Source organism: Homo sapiens, chromosome 10 (assembly GCF_000001405.40).
Source record: "Homo sapiens chromosome 10, GRCh38.p14 Primary Assembly".
NCBI classification, from domain to species: domain Eukaryota; kingdom Metazoa; phylum Chordata; class Mammalia; order Primates; family Hominidae; genus Homo; species Homo sapiens.
In genome coordinates, this window is record NC_000010.11 from 7,253,600 (window position 1) to 7,277,876 (window position 24,277).

The following is a 24,277-nucleotide window of genomic DNA, read 5'->3' on the forward strand; positions in this document are numbered from 1 at the left end:
CCCTTAAACACTCTTGTTTCATATACTGAAAAGAGAAGCCAGACATTCTGAGAGGTTGCAGCATCCAAACACAGGTATTTGTAGTCTGGCCTCAAATAGCCACATATCTTATCCTACTGAACTTCAACTCCGTATTTCAGAAATAAATTTGGAAACTATAAAATGCATTGCTGTATCTTCCAGCCCTAACTTTCACTTTCTGAAAATCACTTTCTAATCAACAACCAAAAAAAAAAAAAAAAAATCCCTCTATGACCATATAGAAATCCCACCAGTTTGAAAGCTAAGTCAACGTAACGGAAATTGAGAAGACTCAAGAATAAAGACAAAACAATTAAGAGTTTGGCTAAACCTGCTACTCTAATGTTTATATTATTGATGAATGACGATTTCAGAAACGTTTTACTGCAAGAGCGTGACAATATTTTCTGACGGGGTTTGCCACTGAAACTTCTGGCCATTGGAGAACTTTAAAAAACATGAAAGATATCCATGCTGTATGTGCAGAACTTTCCAGTAAATGCCAAACTCCCTCATTTATGCTACGTGGCTCACCCAAGAAAGGCTTCCATAAATATTTATCGAATTAAACTGAAGGGATGACAAAAACCCAATGATGTCTTGACATCCATTCCGATCCTATATTCTATCATTCATCCAATAAGCACTGATCAGAAACCACTGAGGCACCGCACAGGAGACTAACAGCTATTGCATGGAATACACAGAACACCCTCCATTTGTCAAAGGGAGAAGGAAAAGAGAGGCAAGAACAGCTATGGAAGATCCAGACTGAGAAGGAACTTCAAAACAAATTTTTTTACTTCTAGCATATAAAAACCAAGTATCACTACGATCACAGTAGTCAAAGGATTTATAGGAGTGAAGCTTAATTTGGAAGACGAAAATCATGTGACTCATGATGATAAAAGATTCTGGGGGCCAGGCGCGGTGGCTCACATCTGTAATCCCAGCACTTTGGGAGGCTGAGACAGGCGGATCATGAGGTCAAGAGATCGAGACCATCCTGGCCAACATGGTGAAACCCCATCTCTACTAAAGAAAAAAAAATACAAAAATTAGCTGGGCATGGTGGTGCACACCTGTAGTCCTAGCTACTCAGGAGGCTGAGGCAGAAGAATCGCTTGAACCCGGGAGGTGGAGGTTGCAGTGAGCAGAGATCGAGCCACTGCACTCAAGCCTGGCAACAGAGCAAGACTCCGTCTAAAAAAAAAGATTCTGGGAAGGTGGCACAGTGGATTTATGCATGGAGACTGGGCTCTGGATACTGGATGGAAGCACTGAAATATGATCTAAAAGGCAAAACTAGTCACTTGACACTCCTAAGGAATAACAAGTTTTTATGATAATTGAAGAATTCAACACCAGCGAATTTCCAAATAAGCCAACAGACAGAACTGCTGAGTTCTGTGGTGTAAATGTCCATCCATATTAGTATATGAGAAAAGATGCAGCTATTCTCATTGAAAAACAAATCTAATCACCCCAGACCACTTACTTTGGGCTGTTAATGCAGTCGGAGGGCATGCATTCATTTACACAAACACCCAACTCATCATCCTCAATGTCAAGGACAGAGAGAGTTCCTGGGTCCTGAAGACAATTCGCCAAACCGATTATGTACTAAGAGATAATGGAAAATTCACTGTCATTTGAAAGAGACATTCTTGGCCTTTGCAAAGCTCTAGAGAATCATTCACACTTTGCAATTATTGGATCAAGAATGATGTTATTCCCGTTATCAGGATATATTACTAAGTCCTTAGTAGATTTACAAATATGCCTGTCACATTAAAGAAATACTGTTTACTTCAGAGTACTGGAGTCTGGTCAAATTGCGTACAGAAAAACTGCTCTCCTTTAATAAATGCCAGCAATGTCATTCCCATCTACATTCATCACTACCCATTTTTATTTTTGCCCTAAAGTAGTTTTATATTGATCAAAAGTAAAATGCCATTCATTTTATTGGAAGACTGTCTTCACAGGCTACTGTGGCAATGTCTCTTCAGGGAACCTTATTTTCAGCAGACTGACGTGGTAAAAGTGGTTCTATCTACATCAACTTCCTTTCTGCACCCTGGTTTCATCAGCTTTATTCCCTCCAGAGCCTGAGCAGTTCTCACTCTCCTACTAAGATGTAGTAACTCTGTGCTGAGACTAACTAGGTTCTGTGTATACAAACTGGAATCCCAACTCTGAAAATCCCAAGCCCCAAACCTGAAACTTTTTGAGGGCCAACAAGATGCTCACATGAGATGCTCATTGGAGCCTTTTCGATTTCAGGTTTTCAGATGCTCAACAGACAAATGTACTGCAAATATTCCAAAATCTGAACCCAGAGACACGTCTGGTCCCAGGCATTTTGGATAAGAGATGCTCAGGCTGTAATATCAAGTGGACAGAAACAGCTAACATGTTGTAAATACTGGCAGGCATGCTCCCTGCATTGTCATTTTCTGCTGACACAGACTGTGGGGTGGAATCCCTCTTGTGGGAGGAAATTAAGATTTAGAGAGATGAAGTTATCTAAGCAAGGGCACACAGCTACCAAGAGAAGCCAGGCTTCAAACCCAAGCAGCCTGATTCAGTCTGAGCCCACCCTCTAGCCACCAGGTTATATAACAGACCACGGAACAAAGACCAAAAAGGATTTTTAAAAAATCAATAATTAGTACAAGCAAACAATACCACTACAACCTACAACCTACTTAAAGCCCCCTAGAATTTTCTTTCAAAGAGAGCTATTGCTAAGTTAAAAAGTGATAGCTACTAACACTGATCATTTACTTAAAACCTCCAAGTTTTGCTGTTAATTCCTCGCACTTTTCAGTGGCTTAAGAAAAAAGCATGTGAGTGCATTCCAGTCCTAAAAATTACTTCCAAAATGTTTACCTACAGCCAGTCACAACCTTCATCAACAATTAACAAATACCATGACTACTTTTGTGTGTTTATACAGTAAGCAATGAAGATTTAGGAAATATGTGCAGCAAAATGTCCACAGTGCTTCATCAATTATCCTCCATCGATACCGACTTCCATGCGATGTTATCGATGTTAACCAAGACAGGTTACTCTGACCAACGTGGTTAATCTAGTACACGTGGCTGGCTGCAAAGTCCACACCAACCCCAGCCTGGGACTGGTATTTTAAACACTATGTGACAGGCACCATCCTATGATGGACGCACAGGAAAGTAGTTGATGTGATTGCTGACCCTGAGAAGCTGGAAATTTACTTAGAAAATCACTGAGGTCAGGAGTTTGAGAGCAGCCTGGCCTACATTATGAAACCCCATCTCTACTAAAAATATAAAAATTAGCTGGGCGTGGCGGTGGGCGCCTGTAATCCCAGCTACTGCGGAGGCTGAGGCAGGGGAATGGCTTGAACTCCGGAGGCAGAAGTTACAGTGAGCAGAGATCACGCCACTGCACTCCAGCCTGGGTGACAGAGCGAGACTCCGTTGGAAAGGGAAGGGGAGGGGAGGGGAGGGGAGGGGAAAGAAAAGAAAAGAAAAAACTGTACAGTGAGAAACAGGAAGTAGAGTATCACGCTGGAAAAAGGAGTATGGACAAACTGCAATATCTTGGTGTCCTGACTTTATAGTTTTGGCTTATGTCTCACTTTTTTCACTTAAAACAGGGGTCAGGAGGATCCCACAACGTCAGAGCCTGCCCTGGGTGCACTCACTACCCACGGTCACCCACCACTTTCAACATCTGCCTCTGATGAAGTCCCTGCCTTGCCAGTGGTTGCTGTGCCTGGAAAGGGACAGCACCTGATTCAGGAGGAGTGAACCATCGCTGCGGGAGAAACACACCTGCCTGGATATAGTCATCATGAGTCAGCAGCAACTCATGTCTCTGGCAGGTGCCAAAGCTTCAGGGTGAACAGCAAAGTTCTTTATAAAATACAGTATACACGTGGCTGTGAGTATTAATCTACAGACAGCAATGGAGAGTATTACTAACAGAGAGACAGGAGAAAGAGAAGACAGAAAAGAAAGAACATTCATGTCTGCTGGGCCTGCCTGAACTTGACTCATCTCCACATTTACTTGAGGGGCTTGAAGAACCGAAGCTTATGCTTTTAAAATGTCACTATGTGGCTATCACAGACTCCGAAAATAGCTAATGCCTCTTCCCATCGCCACTTTATTAGATAAATACATCTCACATGATATAAAATTGTGAAAGATGAGGCACAGGGGAGAACAAGTTCTCATTAATTAATACAACAAAATTAAAATGTACTTGGTGAGGATTTTCATGTAAAAACAAAAAAGGCAGTGAAATCATCCTTATGCAGAAACCAAATTCTTTTTTCATTGAGGTAGGGTCTCTGCCACCCGGGCTGAAGTGCAATGATGCAATCAAGGCTTGCTGCAACCTCCGCCTCCCAGGCTCCAGCAATACTTCCACCTCAGCCTCCCGGGTAGCTGGGACGACAGGTGTGCACCACCATACCTGGCTAATTTTTTGTATTTTTTGTAGAGATGGGGTTTTGCCATGTTGCTCAGGCTGGTCTCAAACTCCTGGGTTCAAGCAATCCAACCGCCTCAGCATCCCAAAGTGCTGGGATTACAGGCGTGAGCCACCGTGCCTGGCTCCAGGAACCACATTCTTAACCTGAGTTCCACAATCAAAAGCTGCAGGAAATTCTCCCTCTGCAGCAGCAATCTCAGTGTCAACCTTCGGTCCTTTGCTTCTTCCTTTCGGCTTATTTGGATATAAAATAAAATAGACAAAAAACAGATATAGGATTCACCCTGCCCAGTTTTTTTAAGCAACAAAATCTTTTAGTGTATTGTACTTACACAAAAATACTGCACAGTATATAATTTTTTCAGTTCCAACATGCCAGTTTTTTGGTCCAAAGGGAACTCAAATATTGCATGTGCTTCTTTTCAAGGCCTCCATTAATCTGCATAATTTCTAAGACTAGGCTTCAGTGAAGTCAATGGAAGGTTTTAGTTAGTATTACATTCAAATTAATATATAATGAGCTACGCTTTAATTCCTCTATTCGTATCAGCATGCCAGGTCCCGCTGAAAAAACCATCCAGAACCATTTATGATATCATTCTTCTTTTGTTTTACCAATGACCTAGTGCTCAGATGTTCATTAGAAAATTACTCCCGTAATACTAGTTTCATTGAAAAACAGATATTAGGAGGCCAGCATTTATTAAATCAATAGTATTATGACATTTCAATTTGATCACACTGATTTCAATTTAGCCAGTGAAGTATTTGTAACAAAAATGTAATTTTAAAATCTATTGCTGAACACTAATAAGCATTTCTATTTTTTACTTACAGAGGTAAAGAGCGATTTTGTCTAGTAGCTGTGCATTCAATCAAGTTAAAAAATAGTAATGAGAAATTTAGGACCGTAGTATCATAGATCACAACCTGAACCACACAATTTACAACAGGCAGGATGTGGTGGACGCTGAGGGGGCCCCTAAATGCATTAACTCAACTGCTGTCATGGAAACATGACGCCAGCATGCTTCACAGAAAGAAGCAAGAGCTGGGAAGGCGCAAAACTTCTCCACCCAGCAGTCTGAGCTTCTGTTTTGCCCTTCCCAGACACCAACGTGGAGGCCAGTAAACACAGAGAGCTTGCAAACCCCTCTACGTGCTCTGCCACAAGTGGGAAGCCTCCCCACTGGAAAGTGCCCACTGCCAAGCAGCCTGGACTGGATCTAATAACAGCTTCAGTCTCCAGAGCCTTCCTCACACCCCAGCTGCCCTCGGCTCCCTCCATCAACCACTTCCAGGTGAGAAACAGGGATGGTCAGCCTCAACACTATTGGCCTTTGGGGGCCAGAATCTTTGTTGGGGGGCTGTTCTGCCACTGTAGGATGTTGCAACTGCATCTCTGGGGTCTATCCACTAGATGCTGACTGCATCCCCCACCTGGGACAACTGAAATGTCTCCTGGCTTTGCCACATGTCCACTGAAGGGCACATGCCCCTGGCCCCTGAGTTGAGGACCACTGATTCAGATTCGGTTAAGAGAGAAGTCAGGTATCGCTGATGAGACACCTGACCTTGTGGTCTCCTCCCCCTACACTTCTGATGAGCTTCCTCAGCATCAGTGGATTCTCTCTGCCTCTGTCTCCAGCATTAACTCACTCTAGTACCCACCCTTCAGCCCCTTGGTGTGATCAGCAGTGCCAACCAACCCTGTTAATTTTGACTCACTCTGATGCTGTCTCAGCAAGAACTGGAAATTCACACTTACATTTGTGCCAGTCTACACTGCAGACCCGGTGCTGCCAGTCTACACTGCAGACCTGGTGCTGCTGTTACCCTCCCACTGCCTCCACTTTGAATGTCTAGTGTATAAGATTCAAAGATGCTGTTATGAATGACAGCAATAACCATAAACAATGGTGACCACAATATGGTGGTACAAGAGGTGCTTTGCATGCACAGGACAATAACAATAACTCAAGTACTCCTTAACCCACTGCCTACTACCACTATGGCAGCAATGGGTTCTCTGTTTGCAAGGAGTAAGCAATCATTTCCAACCTACAGACAAGCAGACCAGTCACCTGAAATGGTACTGGTCCCCAAGGAAGCCTTTATCTATTAAAGGGCCTTCTCACACAAAGACCAGACAGAAAACCCTACTCGACCTGGTATAAACCATAAGGAAATCCATTATCTCACACAGCAAAGGGGTCCAGAGAAAAGGCAAGTGAATAGAAAAGCCTGGTGAACAGAGCCATGAGCAATGTCAGAAATGGCCTCGGTTCTTTTCATCCTCCTCCTTCCACACCCTAAATATGACAGCTTTCCCCAGTCCAGCTCCTCCCTTGTGGGCTCAAGATGGCTGCAGAAACTCCAGGCCTCTCAGGCAGAGCAAGGCCCCCTCTTCCCTATGCTGCTTCTTCAAAGCAAGGAAACCTATTCCAGAAACTACCAGCAGATGTCCTCATTTATTACTGACCCAAATTGGTCACAAATCTCTCCCTAAGCCAATCACTGACAAGAAAAATGGGGCCACTCTTCCGGCTTACACCACTGGTTCTAATTCTACACAGGCGGCATCTACCACATTCCCCAGTGCAGACAGTTATTTGGCAAGGGGCAGGGGCAGTTGTCACTTAGTACAATAAAAAAATCATCCTGGCCAAAATCCCAGGAGAGCCCTCGTCAAAAGCAACTGAGTAATAAGGAGTTGAGCAACATACTCCAGTTCAAATACCATACTGAATAGGCAACACTGAATACTCTCAGAATTCATTTTCTGGTTCTTTGTTATAATAATACTGAGTTTGCGCAGTCTTTAAATACCCCAGTTTAACAAAGAAACATTAAAAAAAAAAAAGTGTGGCCTTGGGTTTGAGGTACGTCTGTGCATCCTGGCTCACCCATGGTCTCTCTGTATGAGGTATGACTAGAAATTAACTTCTCTGAGCCTGGCAATTCCTGAACTTAACCAGTAAGACTCCTGTGCCTCTCGAGTCAGGTTACTGTGGGGATGTGAGATAGTATATGCACAGTACCCAGCACAAGGTCTGCAGCCCGTGGGTGCGAATCACTAGAAACGCTCACCAATTCACTGCAACACTTTCCAATGAAGAATGGTTTTTGAGTTCCTATGATTCATCTATGGCTTCAATTATGTTTTTCCTTCGTACCTTTTTATGCTATCCCGAAAGGTCTGAAAGGTTAATGCATATTCCAAAAACGTCCTCAAGGTGAGTGGCTTATCACACAGAAAGCCAGGGTTTGTAACACTCTGGCCATGCCTTGGCTCCCTGTCCCATTGTTTATAGACCTGCAGTCTCTCAGAATCTTCGGATGCTCAGCAATGACTGAGGATCAGGGAGTGCATGAATCAGTACAGACTCACAGGCGAAATGACCAAATGTTCTGATCCCTTTGCCGGGTGGGGGTTACGTATGCAGGCATGTCTGGATGGATTTACTTTTAGGAGAATCCAGATGCCGGCAGGGAAAAGAATAAATCCTGTTGTGATCTAGAGACTTTGCAGGTCACCACAAGTGCAAGATCTTGTTAAATATTAAGGAGCTTTAAAGCAGGTTTCCACTCTCCTAAACTGAGCCTTTCCTTTCATCAAGTTGTTAAGTGCAGGACATCATATATTCATGTAAAGGTTTATCTGACATGTTCGTGCTGGCCTTTCTGGTTATAAATGGCACTGGCGACAAAACTGGAGGCAGATTTTATCTTATCCTTGACTTTATGTCATTGAGACAGGCAGATTCAAAGTAGGGTGGCTGGCGGAAGGACGGAAGAGAGAAAGCTCAGGAATGAACAGTCCCCACACCTTTTATTGACACCCAGCAAAGTAGGCCAGCCTCCTCAGTGTGCCCTCCCTGGGGGCAGGGGTGACAGCGCTGAAGGGCAAGGCCCGGTGGCATGGCCACACCACTGGGCTCCCCTTATTACATGGGGTCCTCATTTTCCATTAGCTCTCAAACCTCTGAAGTCCTAAAGTTAAAAGAGAGAAGCTCAAACTTCTCTTTACATCAGGTTTCTCCCTGGAGCAAGTGTCTGTTCATGAAAGGCACTACGGGGCTTAAACGGGTGGCCTAACTTGCAAAAGGATTGGTGGTTTTTTAATGTTTTTTGGAGGGGGGATGGGGGAGCCACCTCCAAACAATTTTACCGTGGCTTAAATCCACAATAAGATCTTCTGTAGATAAAAGAATTATAATCTTTTCTTAATTATTTTTATTAATAGAGAATGGAATAGAAAATGGCCCAAAAAATAAAAAATCAGGCACAATGATCACTTTGAAATGTGTCTAGTTTTATAAACAAGAGATGTATCCCCTTTGCACACCTCCAAATCCCATACACCAATTACGCTAAGTTCATGCTAATATGATCTCACCCTCCCTGCAAGTTCCCCGGGAACTGGCAAGAGCCAGAATTATCCGCGGTAAGCAGAAGCCATTTGGGAGTGAGAACTCCCGGAGCAGATAACTGAAAGTTGACTAAATTCTTAAATTCTTAACGTTTAGGATTAAAAGCAAGTTGCTATCTAACGGACTGCAGACAGCGGAGCTCAGGCCCCAGTGATCAAGCAGCTGCGATGGCGAACTCTGTATAGATCTGGATTTTGCGATTTTTATAGTTACATTTATTGTTTGACCAATGTTGCCCTCTTTAGTGTGTCTCTTATAAGATTTTCTCCAATACTCATAAAAACTAGATGGCCCCGCTGGTCCTTTTTTGCCATGGAATTCATGTGCTTCAGTTCAAGTACCCAGAACAGGCAAAGGATCCCACAGATGAACCCCACCTCGCAGTTCTGTATGTTGCCAGGGACGGGTATTCAACGAACTGGACTTCTCTGGGGTTTTCCACCCAAAGAGATTCTGTTTAACAAACCTCTTCAAGTCTGTAAAGAAACGGGAATGGCAACAGGAGGTAGGGGAGCACGTACTCTGCAGAACCATGCTTTCAGGCCCAGACACTGGGGATGCCTGAGAGAACAGACCCGGCTCCAGCCATGGGGTAGAAACCTCCCAAGTTCAATCAATGGCACCGAGATCACAGAGGGACATGCACCAGTCTGCTAACAAAATCACCTACCATCAAAACAGCCTCTATTTCTTTTCTTTTCTTTTCTTTTCTTTTTTGAGACAGAGTTTCTCCCTCGTCGCCCAGGCTGGAGTACAATGGCGCGATCTCAGCTTACTTCAAACTCCACCTCCCGGGTTCAAGTGATTCTCCTGCCTCAACCTCCCGAGTAGGTGGACTACAGGCACGTGCCACTAATGCCCAGGAAATTTTTGTATTTTTAGTAGAGACAGGGTTTCACCATGTTAGCCAGGCTGGTCTCGAACTCCTGACCTCAGGTGATCCACCCGCCTTGGTTTCCCAAAGTGCTGGGATTACAGGTGTGAGCCACCGTGCCCGGCCAACAGCCTCTATTTCAAAGCCATTTGGGGATAACATGATGAGAAGGAGATATCCATCATGTATCCCACAAACATTAACTGCTAAATGACTTGGGGAAAAAATTAAGCTCTGTCTCTATATATGGGCTTAAGGCAAATGCCTGGAGAATGTAAGTGTCCCACCTGAAGGCCAAACTCAGCTACAAGTGTTTGAATGTTGCTGCATTTAGCTGCTGAATAAGGGAAAAAGAAACCAGTCACCATAGAAACTGCAGCCTCACAATCTATCGTAAGAGAAGCCCGCGTCTTCCTTACCCCTTTGGCTGTACCAGACGGAATGAGAAAGAAAAGCTTCTCTCTCTTGGCCACATTTAATCTTCTCTCCTCAGCCTTTAATCTAGGTCTCCGATGCTAAAATGTAGGAGAGATTCCCTCCTAAGGGTTAAATCTATAATCACACTGACAGGTACATCATTGAAAGCTAAGAAAACACTGAAAAAAAGCACTGGATGTGGAATCTTCAGTGCTATGAGCAGCATGAACACTCTTAGTAGAGAGGGTGTCCATGCAGGGAAGGTCTTTATTTCTTTCTTGGTTTGTGTGGGGAAAAATGGCCTCACACAGCATTTCTTATTTTAGCCTTCTCTACATGTCCGTGTCCCTTCCTTTATTAAACATCGAGAAATAGAGAAAGCAAGATACTTAAAGAAACCATTTCAGGTACAGTTTCAGACCCAACCAAACCAGACTCAATGCAGTGCACTGCCGTGACTGCTAGTCCTTTATTTACGGATTTCCAGGGTGCCTTTTATCCCTTATCAGTGATGTGTGTATAATCTCGATACTTATGTCAAAGACGACAGAGACTGTGCTGCAGAAGGACACCAAGACACTGGGTATTTTACGGAAGTACTTAGACCAGGCACACATTTGCTCTGTTCTGAGTCCAGATGCAGTACAAGCCTCAGTTATCATGACCTTGGATCCCTGTAACCTCCATGAGGTACAGATTCTGATTAGGAACTGGTCAGGGAGGTGATAAGAGAATGGATTGGAATTAGTGTCCTGGGCATATGACTCACATCAAAAACAAACTCCTCCTTGGCTTCAAATAAAACGGAAATAAGCAGGAAGCACTAGGGAGTCACTGCCCAGCCGCACCTCACCCGTCAGCTACATACACTCCTGAGAAGCATGACATGAAACAGCGATCAATTCAGCAGAAAAGAATTAGCTGCCTATAAAAAAGCAGAAACCCTGGATGCCAACCGTATCCCCAGACCACAGTGCTCTCTTGGGCTTATTCCTCAAGTTCCTTATATCTTTATTCTCTATTTGTTTAGTTAGAAAACAGTATACAGTAGCAGGTTAGTGCCTGGATCAAACAATCTGAAAAGACGGACATTTTAAAAAAGAGGAAAAAAAAAAAAAAAAAAACTTACATAAAACATGTGTAGACATTAAGCCTAGTCCGTGATCACTTTCAACAAGCAGCAAACCTTGACATTTCAGGTTTGTGAGCAACAGGATTTCGTGGAACATGATTTGTTTTTGTTTTGTTTTTTTAATGCTGAGATTTTAATTTTATGTTTTGATTTCTTTTTTAATGCTGAGATCTCCCTCCCTCCCTCCTTCCCTCCCTCCCTCCTTCCCTCCCTCCCCTGCCTCCCTCTCTTCCTCCCTCCCTTCCTTCCTTCTCTGAGATGAAGTCTCGCTCTGTCTCCCAGACTGGAGTGCAGTGGCACAATCTCAGCTCACTGCAACCTCCGCCTCCCGGGTTCAAGTGATTCTCCTGCTTCAGCCTCCCATGTAGCTGGGATAACATGCGCATGCCACCACGCCCGACTAATTTTTGTATATTGTGTAGAGATGGGGTTTCACCATGTTGCCCAGGCTGGTCTAGAAATCCTGAGTTCATGCAATCCTCCCGCCTGGCCTCTCAAAGTGCTGAGGTTACAGGCATGAGCCACCGCGCCTGGCCCCTGAGATGTCTTCTTAATTTCAATGAGGAATTGAAATTAATTGGGAGGCCAAATACTCTTCTCAGTGCTCTCAACTCTTTCCTCTTCTTAGCAAAGAACTGAGCTGGGGTATTTTTAGTTGATTACAAAAGTGCCATCCTTAGTTGTAAACTCACCATCCCATAAATGGAGCCATTCCCCTCTTAGGCTAGTCATCTCTATTATTCAGAACTACTCACAGGAGGCTTGCTTAATTTAAGTTATAGTGATGACCTCTCCTATGTTTTGATCCTTCTAAGTTAATTTTTGGACTTATATCCCCATGAATCCCCATTCAAGAACATTTACTGAGAACTGATGATGTCCTGGGTACTGCGGAAGGCACTGAGGATAAAGCAGTCATGGAAATACAAACTTGGCTCTCGCAGAGCCTGCATTCTAGCTAGGGGAAGGAGGCCAAATGCAAAAAACTATTTAAATTAAATTTAAAAAATAAAAGGCAAAGTGCTATATAATAGTCGGGGGAATCAGTGCTGAGATCAGTGCTGAACCAGGATAGCAGGGAGAGTGCGCAGAAGGGGAGATAGTGGAACAGAGTGCGGTTTTCTTTCCTTTTTTTTTTTCTTTGAGACAGAGTCTTGCTCTGTCACCCAGGCTGGAGTGCAATAGCATGATCTCAGCTCACTGCAACCTCCGCCTCCCGGGTTCAAGCGATTCTCCTGCCTCAGCCACCCTAGTAGCTGGGATTATAGGCAAGCACCACCATGCCCAGATAATTTTTGTATTTTTAGTAGAGATGGGGTTTCACCATGTTGGCCAGGCTGGTCTCGAACTCCTGACCTCAGGTGATCCACCCACCTCGGCCTCCCAAACTGCTGGGATTACAGGCATGAGCCACCACGCCCAGTCCAGGGTTTTCTAATTTTAAGCAGACACCCGTAGGAAGTGAGGGAAGGGGCCATGCAGGAATCTGGGGGTGACCTTCCAGGCAGACCAGGCATTATACAAAGGCCTTAGGCAGGAGTAAGCAGGTGTCAGTGGGATAGTGGGGAGCTGGAGGGGGCACGGCAGGTACGTGAAGCCTCCAGCATCAGGCGACTGGACCCAGGCATCCCGCCCTGATGAGATGACATGCCACAGGGAGGCAGGAGCAAAAGTGGGGCTCCATCTGACTTCAGTTTCAACAGAAGCCCTCTGGCTGCAGTCGGGGGACGCAATGACTAGAAGCCAGGAAACAAGCTCTGGCGTGATGGGACAGTCCATGGGACAGAGATGGTGGCCTGGACTTGGGCAGTGGCAAAGGCTACACAGAAGAGTGAGTTCAGGACAGAGTTTGAAGGGAGAGCCAACAAAATTTCCTGATGGGTGGAATGGAAGTGTGCAGAGAAGGGTTCACCTGGGAGGCCTAGGCTGTGGTCCTCACAGAGGGGGCTCGCCTGCAAGGGGGGGTCTGTGGCTGCAATCTGGAAATGTGGCTGATAAAAAATAGCTTATACCAATCTAAAACTTTTCCTAAATATAAGAGTGGTTTGCTGTGTCTAAACTGTGTGTACAAACAATCTGGTTTATGGTTTCCTTCTAAGAGTTGGGAATTCTGGTCTGTGCCAGGCAGAGGGTTCCTATGTGACCAGTCCCCAGTAAAAACCCTGAGCACTGAGTGTCTAAGGAACTGCCCTGGTAGAAGAGTACCTGGCACCTCTTGTCACAGCTGGGTGCTGTGTGACGCCTCCAGGAGGGGGCTCTGGAAGCTTCTGTCTGGTTTTCTGGACTTCACCCCATTGCTGATTCTGCTTTCTATCCTTTCACTGTAATAACCTATAACCATGAGTGTAATGACTTCTGAATCCTGTGAGTCCTTTCAGTAAATTACCAAACCTGGGGCAGATGTGGGGATCCCCAACACAGAGGTGTGAAGCGGAGAGAGGCTACAAGGAGGATGCCAAGGCTTTGGACTCAAGTGCAGTTGTCTTTCTGTTTGTTTGTTTGAGATGGAGTCTCACTCTGTTGCCCAGGCTGAAGTGCAGTAGCAAGATCTCAGCTCACTGCAACCTCCGCCTCTCGGGTTCAAGTGACTTCTGGCTAATTTTTGCATTTTTAGTAGAGATGTGGTTTCACCATGTTGGCCAGGCTGGTCTAGAACTCCTGACCTCAAGTAGATCTGCCAGCCTCAGCCTCCCAAAGAAGTGCAGTTGTCTTATGCATAATTCCCTGCACTCTAAGGCAAATCTCTGAGTAGCTCATTTAGAATTTCAAACACACTGAGATTTTCAATATTTTTTTAAAGAACACAAAAAAGTTCCAACAATTTCCCTTCTTTAAAGGATAAAAAAAGGATCATAGATGTTAGTGACATTTCAGGTATGTCCCTTCCTTGCTGTGACAAGGTGTGGTCATGAACAAAGTAAGCTAGAGAGCTTCTGTCTTCTCCCAGCTATATTTCTGTATTCCTCTAAGGAAACAATATTTTATTTCCATTAACTAGAAAATTGGGAATTGCTGTTTCTTATTTATAGATCTTTTTGGTGGACAAATGAGTTGTCAGTGAAACTTGTACAATTTAATATTTGCAAACACGTAGGATCTCAGATATGGAATACGATTTATAAGAATTGCTGGGAACGAAAAAGTAATATGGAGGCTCGTAAATGTCAGACACGTGACATGTTACAATTACTGATAGGCTTTTATTTTCTAGTCTCCTCTAGCCCTAGTTTTAAAACTTACCAAGCCCCAAAAAATCCTTTAGTGGTCTCTTAGTATACACTCAGTGAACTGGAAAACTGAGGCAACAAAGACATTATTGACCAAAAGACTGAGTCTGTCCTGTAATAAACTTCATTGTTTGATGACAGAAACAAACTGACAGAAACCCTTCCTAGTAGTCCTTCGCAAAAGACAAAAATAAAAAGCTTTTATGGAAACTGGGGCGTTTTGCTTGAGTGGACATTGGGATATGTCATAAGTTAATCAAATGATGGTTTCCAGAGGCTGCAAAATTGGTCAAAGTGACTATGTCAAAGAAAGGTTTTATCTAATTTTTTTTTTTTTGAGACAGAGTCTCGCTCTGTCGCCCAGGCTGGAGTGCAGTGGCACGATCTCGGCTCACTGCAATCTCCACCTCTTGGGTTCAAGTGATTCTTCTGCCTCAGCCTCCCGAGTAGCTGGGATCACAGGTGCCCACCACCACGCCCAGCTAATTTTTGTATTTTTAATAGAGAAAGGGTTTCGCCATGTTGGCCAGGCTGGTCTCAAACTCCTGACCTCAGGTGATTCACCCACCTCGGCCTCCCAAAGTGCTGCGATTACAGGCATAAGCCACCGCACCTGGCCTTTATCTACTTTCTAAACATATCTTAAGTTGATTTTTAAAAGGAAGATTTCTTTGTGTTCCAAAAGCTGAGACTCACCCAGCTGTGTGATGCAGAGACATCTGCTCTAAATTAAAATCCACTGAGAGCCACGGTGATATACAGTGCAGTCACCTCTACAGACTTGTTATAGACATGGATAGTATATGGATAGTTTTGGCAAATCTTTTAGGCCTCTAAATAACAGGGTTCGTCTTCAAGAAAAAAAAAGTCATTATTTATTTTTCAATAAAATGAGGCTTTTAATGTCCTTTGAGTTTTTTTAAACCTATTTCATCAACTATTTATCCTTCAACTGAATGTACATTTTGGAAATGATCTGTATTTGCCAAATAAGGTAAGTCAGAATTCCCAGTAAAGTATGGCATCCAAAGCTATTCACAGTGATCTCTTAAATCAAAGATAAATAACAGTAGAAATAATAATCATGAGCTTGTTCTCATACTGTTCCAGTTTGTATTCAAGACAGAAAGGAACACCTACCCAGGAGCTCAATCACATTGCATGCACAGACACCGACAACCACACAGACGTGTGAACACATCCCCCCAACGTGAGCAACCGCAGCATAATGGGACTCATCCCATCCAAATACCCATTTCATCTAAAGTGTAAAAATAATAAAAAGAACTTCTTGGAAATACCGCTCATCTCCGGCCATTAAATGTGCTTAGCTTTGACTTCTGTCTCGTAACAGCTGAACGCTATGGCAATTTTCCATAACAACACGCATCTCAGATGACTCACTGCTGAATTCAAACACATATTCCTTTTACCGTAATGAAAGAAACTAGAAAAAAGTCTGCCTGCTGAGAAACAGTGATGATCAACAGTGATAACAGAGAAAAAAAGCAAGTAAGTGTGTGCGTGTGTGTGTGTGTGTGTGTGTGTGTGTGTGTGTGTGTGTGTGTCTCTTTTTGGATCCTGCACAAAGAATACTGCTTGCTAGAACTTCTAAAAACTTGAGAGAAGATTTCTCTTTTTTTTTTTTTAAATAAATGAAGCAACTGCTAAGACAGTTGGATCCTCATCCCATGCATCCATACCATTTCTCTGAACATTACCTTCGTGTAAGCAGAGGAAGTCAGTAGAGAGTGCCACTGTGTTATTTCTAAGATTTCTGTACATACATGAAATGCGATCAGATTGGGTTGAAGAGTGTCTCCCTGCAAATTCATACTCACCCAGAAGCTATCATGCAACCTTATTTGAAAATAGGGTCTTTGTAACTGCAATTGAGTTAAGACAAAGTTGGATGGGATTCACACAGGGCCAGTCAAATGACGGTTGTCTTGTAAGCAGAGAGAAATTTGAACAGATGTGGAGAAGGCCATGTGAACCTGGAGGCAGGGAACCGAGGGAGGTGGCCACAGACCAAGCAAAGCCCAGGACACAGGCGACCCCAGAAGCCAGGGCCGCCCTCTGCTTCCACCCAGAGCCTTCAGGGGAGTGTGGTCCTGCCGACACCCTGATTTCACACACTAGTCTCCAGAAGCATGAGAGAACAAATTTCTGTCATTCTAAGTCATCCAGTCCATGGGAATTTGTGACAGTAGCCTTTGCAAACTAAGAAAATGATGTTCTCACACCCTCCAAATTAAACGTGTAGATTCTCACTCATTACAAAATATAGTTAAGAAACCTCCTGTGTCTCTTCCATTGAACTGAAATAAGAGAAAACATTAATGAAAGTATCTCACCAGCTTTAAGAACACATAATATTCAATGCAACTAATGTCTATTTATAAAGTGCCTAACCCCACACCCTGCCTCATGAGAGGCCCAAAAGTAATATTCAGTATCTGCTCTTAAAGCACTCCTTAATTATGCACAAAATACTGAATAAGATGATAATGCTCACATACCCTACCAAAATAATAGTCTGAATTCTTATGGGAAGAAATTAAAGTGAGGGAAGAAGGTAAGGTAATTGTATTTTGGAAAATATGAACAAACTATTAAACTCTGGAATCAGGTCAACAGCACATAATAGCTTTGTGCAAAGACAATAAATGTTTAATGAATTAGTTAATTTTTAATTACAAATATATTAGAATGATTAATGTGTATACCTTTTGAGTCTTAGTATTCATACCTCTAAAAAAGTGTGCATGTCCATTTAATCTATATATGAACTCAAAAATTTTAAATTCAGGCCAGGCATGGTGGCTCACGCCTATAAATCCAGCACTTTGGGAGGCCGAGGTGGGTGGATTGCTTGAGTTCAGGAGTTCAAGACCAGCCTGGCGAACATGGTGAAACCCCAGCTCTACTAAAAATACAAAAAACATTAGCTGGGCCTGGTGGTGCATGCCTGTAATCCCAGCTACTTGAGAGGCTGAGGCAGGAGAATCTCTTGAACCCAGGAGGCAGAGGTTGCAGGGGGCCAAGCTGAGATCATGCCACTGCACTCCAGCCTGGGTGACAGGGCAAGATTGCCTCCAAAAAAAAAAAAAAAAAAAATTAAATTCAAGGAGTTGAAGACATATGTCCATGAATTCACGCATTTATTGGACAGGTATTTAATGAGTGCTACTATGGTCAAGAAAGTATGTTTCTAAGAATGGACAGGAAAGACACAGTCCTTGCCTTCCTGGAGCTTCAAAGTTAGGCAAAAAGAGGCCGGTATTATACAAGGAGCTGCACAAATGATTAAGCATAACTGTGACAGAACAAGCTGCTGAAGGACACCAACAGAGGCTCAAGTTCATCTGGGCCAGGGTCAGGGGTCCAGGGAAGGATTCCTTTGGGGAATCTATATTTGAAAATGAAAGATGAGTAGGACTTTAACAGAACAAAATAGGTATGCATTAGTCCATTTTCACTGATAAAGATGTACCCGAGACTGGGCAATTTACTAAAGAAAGAGGCTTATTAGACTTATAGCTCCACATGGCTGGGGAGGTCTCACAATCATAGTGGAAAATGAAAGGCACGTCTCACATGGCAGCAGACAAGAGAAGAGAGCTTCTGCAGGGAAACTCCCATTTTTAAAACCATCAGATCTCGTGAGACTTATTCACTATCACGAGAACAGCATGGGAAAGACCCACCCCCATGATTCAGTTATTTCCCACCGGGTCCCTCCCACAACATGTGGGAATTCTGGGAGCTACAAGATGAGATTTGGGTGGGGACACAGAGCCAAACCATATCAAGGTACAAAGGGCGTTACAGAAACATAACAAGTGCACCTCCTGGTACAGCAAGGAGGGGCACGGAAGGAGACACTGCACAGGGGAGCGAGTGAAAAATCTCCCCAGGCTCAGCATGTCCAGGAAGGATGTGGCAGCTTGATCGTACCCTAGAGTCCAAACAACAAGATTCTTTTCAACAGCAGTGCCAGGTTAAAACAGCAGGCTGAAAACCCACATTCATTTCACCTCCTCCTAAACTCTAACCAAAACTACAGTCCAGAGACTTTTTTTAAAAAAGACACACCCACTCAGCACACAAAGGTAAGGAGGCAAAAAAGCTGATGAAGAAGAAGTGAGTAATTTCACACATTCAGCAAAGCCAAATCCCAGGCCTTCAGCAGAAAAGCTGAGCACCAACACAGTGGCTCCTACAGAAGCCTTGAAAGGCTCTGAAACGAGTCCCACCAGATATGTCCGAAACCGGGGGGTTGACAGGAGCTTAAGATATAAGCATGGGGAGGTGACTGGGAAGCAGAGGCAGTTAGACGCCCCCCACAGCCTCCCTGATCCCTGTCTCAGCCTTCTCTGAACAGGCTGGGGCAGGAACCAACACTGCAGGCCAGCACCCAGCCCTCTTCTCTCCACGTGGCTCCTGGAACGCTGGCAGTCAGACCTGGAGCCCCAGGTGGGACATTGGGAGACTGAAAAGCTCTCCCTGGAAAACCAGCCAAAGAGGAAATACTACAGGACAAGAAGCAGCCCACAAGCCACACTCCAGGGGCTGACCACCACATTCTAATCCCCCCTACCCTCTTTCATTTTTTTGAGACAGAGTCTTGCTCTGCCGCCCAGACTGGAGTGCAGTGGTGCAATCTCAGCTCACTGCAACCTCTGCCTCCCGGGTTCAAGGAATCCTCCTGCCTCAGCCTCCTGAGTAGCTGGGATTACAGATGCATGCCACCATGCCCGGCTAATTTTTTTGTATTTTTAGTAGAGACAGGGTTTTATCATATTGGCCAGGCTGGTCTAGAACTCCTGACCTCAAATGATCTGCCCGTCTCGGCCTCCCAAAGTGCTGCGCTTACAGGCGTGAGCCACCAACGCCCCAGCCAAAACCTCTGATTCTTGAGACAAATGATAGCTCACCTAAAATTCTACACCCACACAAACTATCAATAAAGTATATGGATAAGACAGACATTTTTAGCCACTTTTAGTGAGAAGGAAATGTAGACAGCATTTTATCATCTTTGCAACCTACGGACACAATGCCAAAGTCAGCCAGACCAAGATTGTTAACAATATTCAGCTTATTTTGACTACACTAAAAAGATTCCTAAGTTGGGTCCTACTCCTGGTCCAGCTGTCTAGACAAGATGAGAACATTCATTCCACTGCAAAGAAACAGTGAACTTCAGCCTGCTCCTGAGAGCTAAGTTGTAAAATCAGAAAACAAGAACCAACCAACCCCCGCCCACATTTTTTTAATGTATTTTTTTAAATTATACTTTAAGTTCTAGGGTACATGTGCACAACGTGCAGGTTTGTTACATATGTATACATGTGCCATGTTGGTGTACCGCACCCATTAACTCACCAATTACATTAGGTGTATCTCCTAATGCTATCCCTCCCCACACCCCACGACAGACCCCAGTGTGTGGTGTTCCCAACCCTGTGTCCAAGTGTTCTCACTGTTCAATTCCCACCTATGAGTGAGAACATGCGGTGTTTGATTTTCTGTCCTTGCAATACTCTGCTCAGAATGATGGTTTCCAGCTTCATCCATGTCCCAATGTGCTGGAGAGGATGTGGAGAGATAGGAACACTTTTACACTGTTGGTGGGACTGTAAACTAGTTCAACCATTGTGAAAGACAGTGTGGCGAGTCCTCAAGGATCTAAAACTAGAAATACCATTCGACCCAGCCATCCCATTACTGGATATATACCCAAAGGATTATAAATCATGCTGCTATGAAGACACATGCACACGGATGTTTATTGCAGCACTATTCACAATACCAAAGACTTGGAACCAACCCAAATGTTCATCAGTGATAGACTGGATTAAGAAAATGTGGCACATATACACCATGGAATACTATGCAGCCCCTGCCCACATTTCTAAGGGATGTGACCTCCAGTACTGAGAGTTCATGCTGCAACTTCAGTAGAAGCAAGTGTGGTAACCCCTCGTCTTCTTAAGATTAGCTCACAGACCAGGTGCAGTCGCTCACACCTGTTATCCCTGCACTTTAGGAAGCCAAGGCAGGAGGATCACTTGAGCCCAGGATTTGAGACCAGCCTGGGCAACACAGTGAGACCCCATCTGTACAGAAACAAAAAATCTAAAAATTAGCTGATATGGTTTGGCTGTGTCCCCACCTAAATCTCATTTTGAATTATAGCTCCCATAATCCCCACATGTTGTGGGGACGTAATTGAATCATGCAGGCGGTTTCTCCCATGCTATTCTCCTGATAGTGAGTAAGCTCTCATGAGATCTGATGATAAGGGCCTTCCCCCTTCATCCAGCTCTTATTCTCCTTCCTGCTGCCATGTGAAAAAGGACATCTTTGCTTCCCCTTTTGCCATGATTTTAAGTTTCCTGAGGCCTCCCCAGCTTTGCTGAACTGTGAGTCAATTAAACCTCTTTCCTTTATAAATCACCCAGTCTCAGGTATGTCTTCCCTAACAGCATGAGAACAAACTAATACATTAGCTAGGTGTGCTGGTGCATGCCTGTGGTTCTAGCTACTTGGGAGGCTGAGACAGGAGGATGGCTTGAGCCTGGGAGTTTGACACTACAGCGAGCTATGATCACCCCACTGCACTCCAGCCTGGGTTACAGAGTGACACCGTTTCTCCAAAAAAAAAAAAAATTAGCTCACGACTTCACCTACTGAATCCTCATCCACTCTGAGGAAAAGCAAAGCCAGTGTGGTGCCCAGACCACATCCAGCTTTCTTCCCTCTTCAGAGTAGGGAAAGGGCCCTCTCTGAACAATGAGGACAGTGCCCACTTCCCATCCTGTCAACAGGACTCAGCATCCCACTTAGGGAAGCATACACAGGCTGGAACGCCACAAAGAGAGGCACAGGCAGGACCCGCACAGCTGTGAGGCCCCGGGTGCCCTGGTCCCGCAGGGAGGCAGACCTGGGGCTGCAGCGGGGGCTTCACTGGCCTGGCAGCTCCGAGGCTTAGACCGGAGGGTGGGCATCTGTAATTTCCCATTGGCTCACTCCTTCAACTCCTCACATGTGTGTATAGGGTACGTCAAAATAAAATTTATTTTTTCAAGGGTGAAGGATGTGATTGGATTTGATTCACATTCAAAGATGACTGAGGCCACGGTGAAGAGAAAGGGGCAGGGGAGACGAGGACAGGCTGGCTCTGGTGGGGGTGGCAGAGCTGAGAGGTCCAACATTAAAGGCTGTTTCTCTTCATCGTTTTTGTAAGGGCAGGACAGTATTAAAGGAAGGAAGAATAAAAGGGAGAGAAGAGGGAAGGAGAGGAAGAGGAAGACAAAGAGGAGAAGAGAGAAAGATTTGGTCAGTGAGGCAAAAAATAACAACATTGGCCACCACAACTGTCGGCTTCACTGTCGGTCAATATCATGCTAACAGTGTATTATATTTACACTGTTCCTCCAGTACAGGAGCCCCCAAACACTGTAAAAATCATCATTCAGTTAAACGTCACAACATAATCACATGGCTAAGTTAAGGGGGAGATCTTAATAGTCCAATTTTACAAACAGGGGAAGTACTGAATGAAAGGGTCAATGATTTGCCACAGCTGCTTAAAAGGCTGAGTGAGGACTTAGGTGTCAGTAAAATCCAGGAAGCCCACGTCCCCTACTAAATCCTTAAACTCTGCTGTACCACATTAAGTACATCTTCTACATGAAACTTGTACGACTCTGCAGACACGTGCCACCCCAGGGCTGGGAAGCAACTGGATGTCTGCCCGTCACAACCACATTGAGAACTGTCCAAGGACGCCAATGGTGTTGGGTCGCCGCCCACACTCCATGGGCCTGTTTTATGATTTCCTTGGATGAACCTGAATGGACCATCTTTGTCCAGAACCTAATATTCTATTTCACGTAAGTGTGAAGCATAATTTTTGAAGTGTAAAGAACTTGGTAGCCGTTTTGGTGGAGATGCATTTCACAAGCCCTTCATTTTCACGGGAGCACCTGGTGGAAGGCCTGGTACTTAGCAGAACCTCGGGACATCAAGAAAACTGAACCACCACGAGATGAGTCATTTTCTGTCATTTTTACTAAATGTCAAAATTAGACTTGCTATATTTCCTTTTGTTTCTGTAGTAGGAAGTGAGGGGGTGAAAATATTTCCATAACAATATGCTACAAAGAAAGTCAGTAAACCTAAACAATTTTAATCAGCATCTTGTAATATGGGTCATTATGAAGATTATTTTTTTAAAAAGCAACATGAAACAGATAAAACCTTAAGCATTTAAAATGGAAACTGGTTAAGAAGGTGCCTTTTCAAGTGGAAAAGGATTTGGTATGGAAAACTTTTTATTTTATTGGAGATTAAGTCTCACTCTGTTGCCAGGCTGGAGTGCAATGGTGCGATCTCAGCTCACTGTAACTTCTGCCTCCCCAGTTCAAGCAATTCTCCTACCTCACACTCCCAAGTAGCTGGGATTACAGGCACACACCACACGCCTGGCTAATTTTTGTATTTTTAGTAGAAATAGGGTTTCACCATGTTAGCCAGGATGGTCTCGATCTCCTGATGTCGTGATCCGCCCACCTCAGCCTCTCAAAGTGCTGGGATTACAGGCATGAGCCACTGCGCCCGGCCGGAAAACTTTGTAGATGATTTTATTCTCAAAAAGGGTAGATACATTGCTAAGAATCAACATCTTACCTTAAACACTTCCATTGGAAGAGGAAATTTGGCAGCATCAATAAGGGATTTTTCCAGAGTACATTTCCATTCAGAGGCCATCTTCAAAGGATAGATTTCTGTATCAACAGCAAATCACAGAAGAGTTGAAGGACTAACACGTTCTGCCGGGTGACTCTTTCCTGCATGCTAATTCCCAGGCTTTCCTGATACCTCAGCACGGTCAGTGACCGTGAGTGTTCACACCCCATACCCACCATGAGCAGCCACCTGCTGAAAGGACTTTCTGAAATTAAATAGCAACTTGGGATTCTGCTGTCAGAAATGAAGAATAAACTTAATAGAGCTCTTCTTCAGGGAACATTTGTATGCATTTAGTTGGCATTCTGTAAGTAATTTAATGGTATTAATCACATTAGCAAAAACCTTCAGTCATCCATGGGCCAAAATTCCACCTATCACCTAGGAAAGCAATGCCCACTGATGAGGAACTTATTATCTGATACATTTCTAAACTACAAACGACTCTAGTCTGGCATTTGCAGTTATGACAACATATTTTCACTAAATCTCTAAGCTCTCATCTGCTAAAAATAGTCCCTGTAAGTCAGAAAATTATTAAAAGGTAAATTAAAATTTACCAAGTTTAATATTTACACTTGAAATGTTGCTTAACACACCACATGTTGCCCATATTTTTCCCCAGGCAGTGGGAGGGGGGGCAAGATTTACAGATGGAGGTTACACAGTCTGAATGCAAAATTAAAAGGAAAAAAAAAAACGTTGAGCACTGTTTTTACCTATTGCTGAAACTGCAGGAGAATTTTATGGCCTGATCTCAACAGATTTAAGACCTTATCAAAATAGGATTTGCAGAAGCCCTCACTGGAAGTAGATATGTTTATGCCTTCAATATATCAACCCAGGCTACTTCAGACAGACGCTTAGGATATGAATATGAAATTAAGCACAGTTAAAAAGCAACAGTAAACCTTTGGGACTGTAT

At 44.0% G+C, this 24,277-nt stretch overlaps 1 protein-coding gene across 12 annotated transcripts in view, besides 1 other annotated feature; it reads right to left on the reverse strand.

Moving 5' to 3' along the window:
* SFMBT2 (Scm like with four mbt domains 2) overlaps positions 1–24,277 on the reverse strand; it is a 252,867-nt gene that overhangs the window by 94,976 nt on the left and 133,614 nt on the right. For 11 of the 12 annotated variants that reach the window (NM_001029880.3, NM_001387890.1, NM_001387889.1 and 8 more), the window contains one exon: positions 23,293–23,390. In NM_001029880.3, the coding sequence (NP_001025051.1) occupies positions 23,293–23,390 (98 nt within the window). Of the gene's footprint in view, positions 1–1,519; positions 23,267–23,292; positions 23,391–24,277 lie in introns of those variants that run through there. The other variant, XM_047425571.1, reaches the window with a different exon arrangement.
* Positions 3,208–4,407: an enhancer, noted in NCBI's record as "BRD4-independent group 4 enhancer chr10:7298769-7299968 (GRCh37/hg19 assembly coordinates)". NCBI's record gives its function as "activates an origin of replication core promoter dependent on BRD2, P300/CBP, MED14 and CDK7 cofactors, and independent of BRD4, by STARR-seq in HCT116 cells {active_cell/tissue: HCT116}" and the evidence as "EXISTENCE:reporter gene assay evidence [ECO:0000049][PMID:35650434]".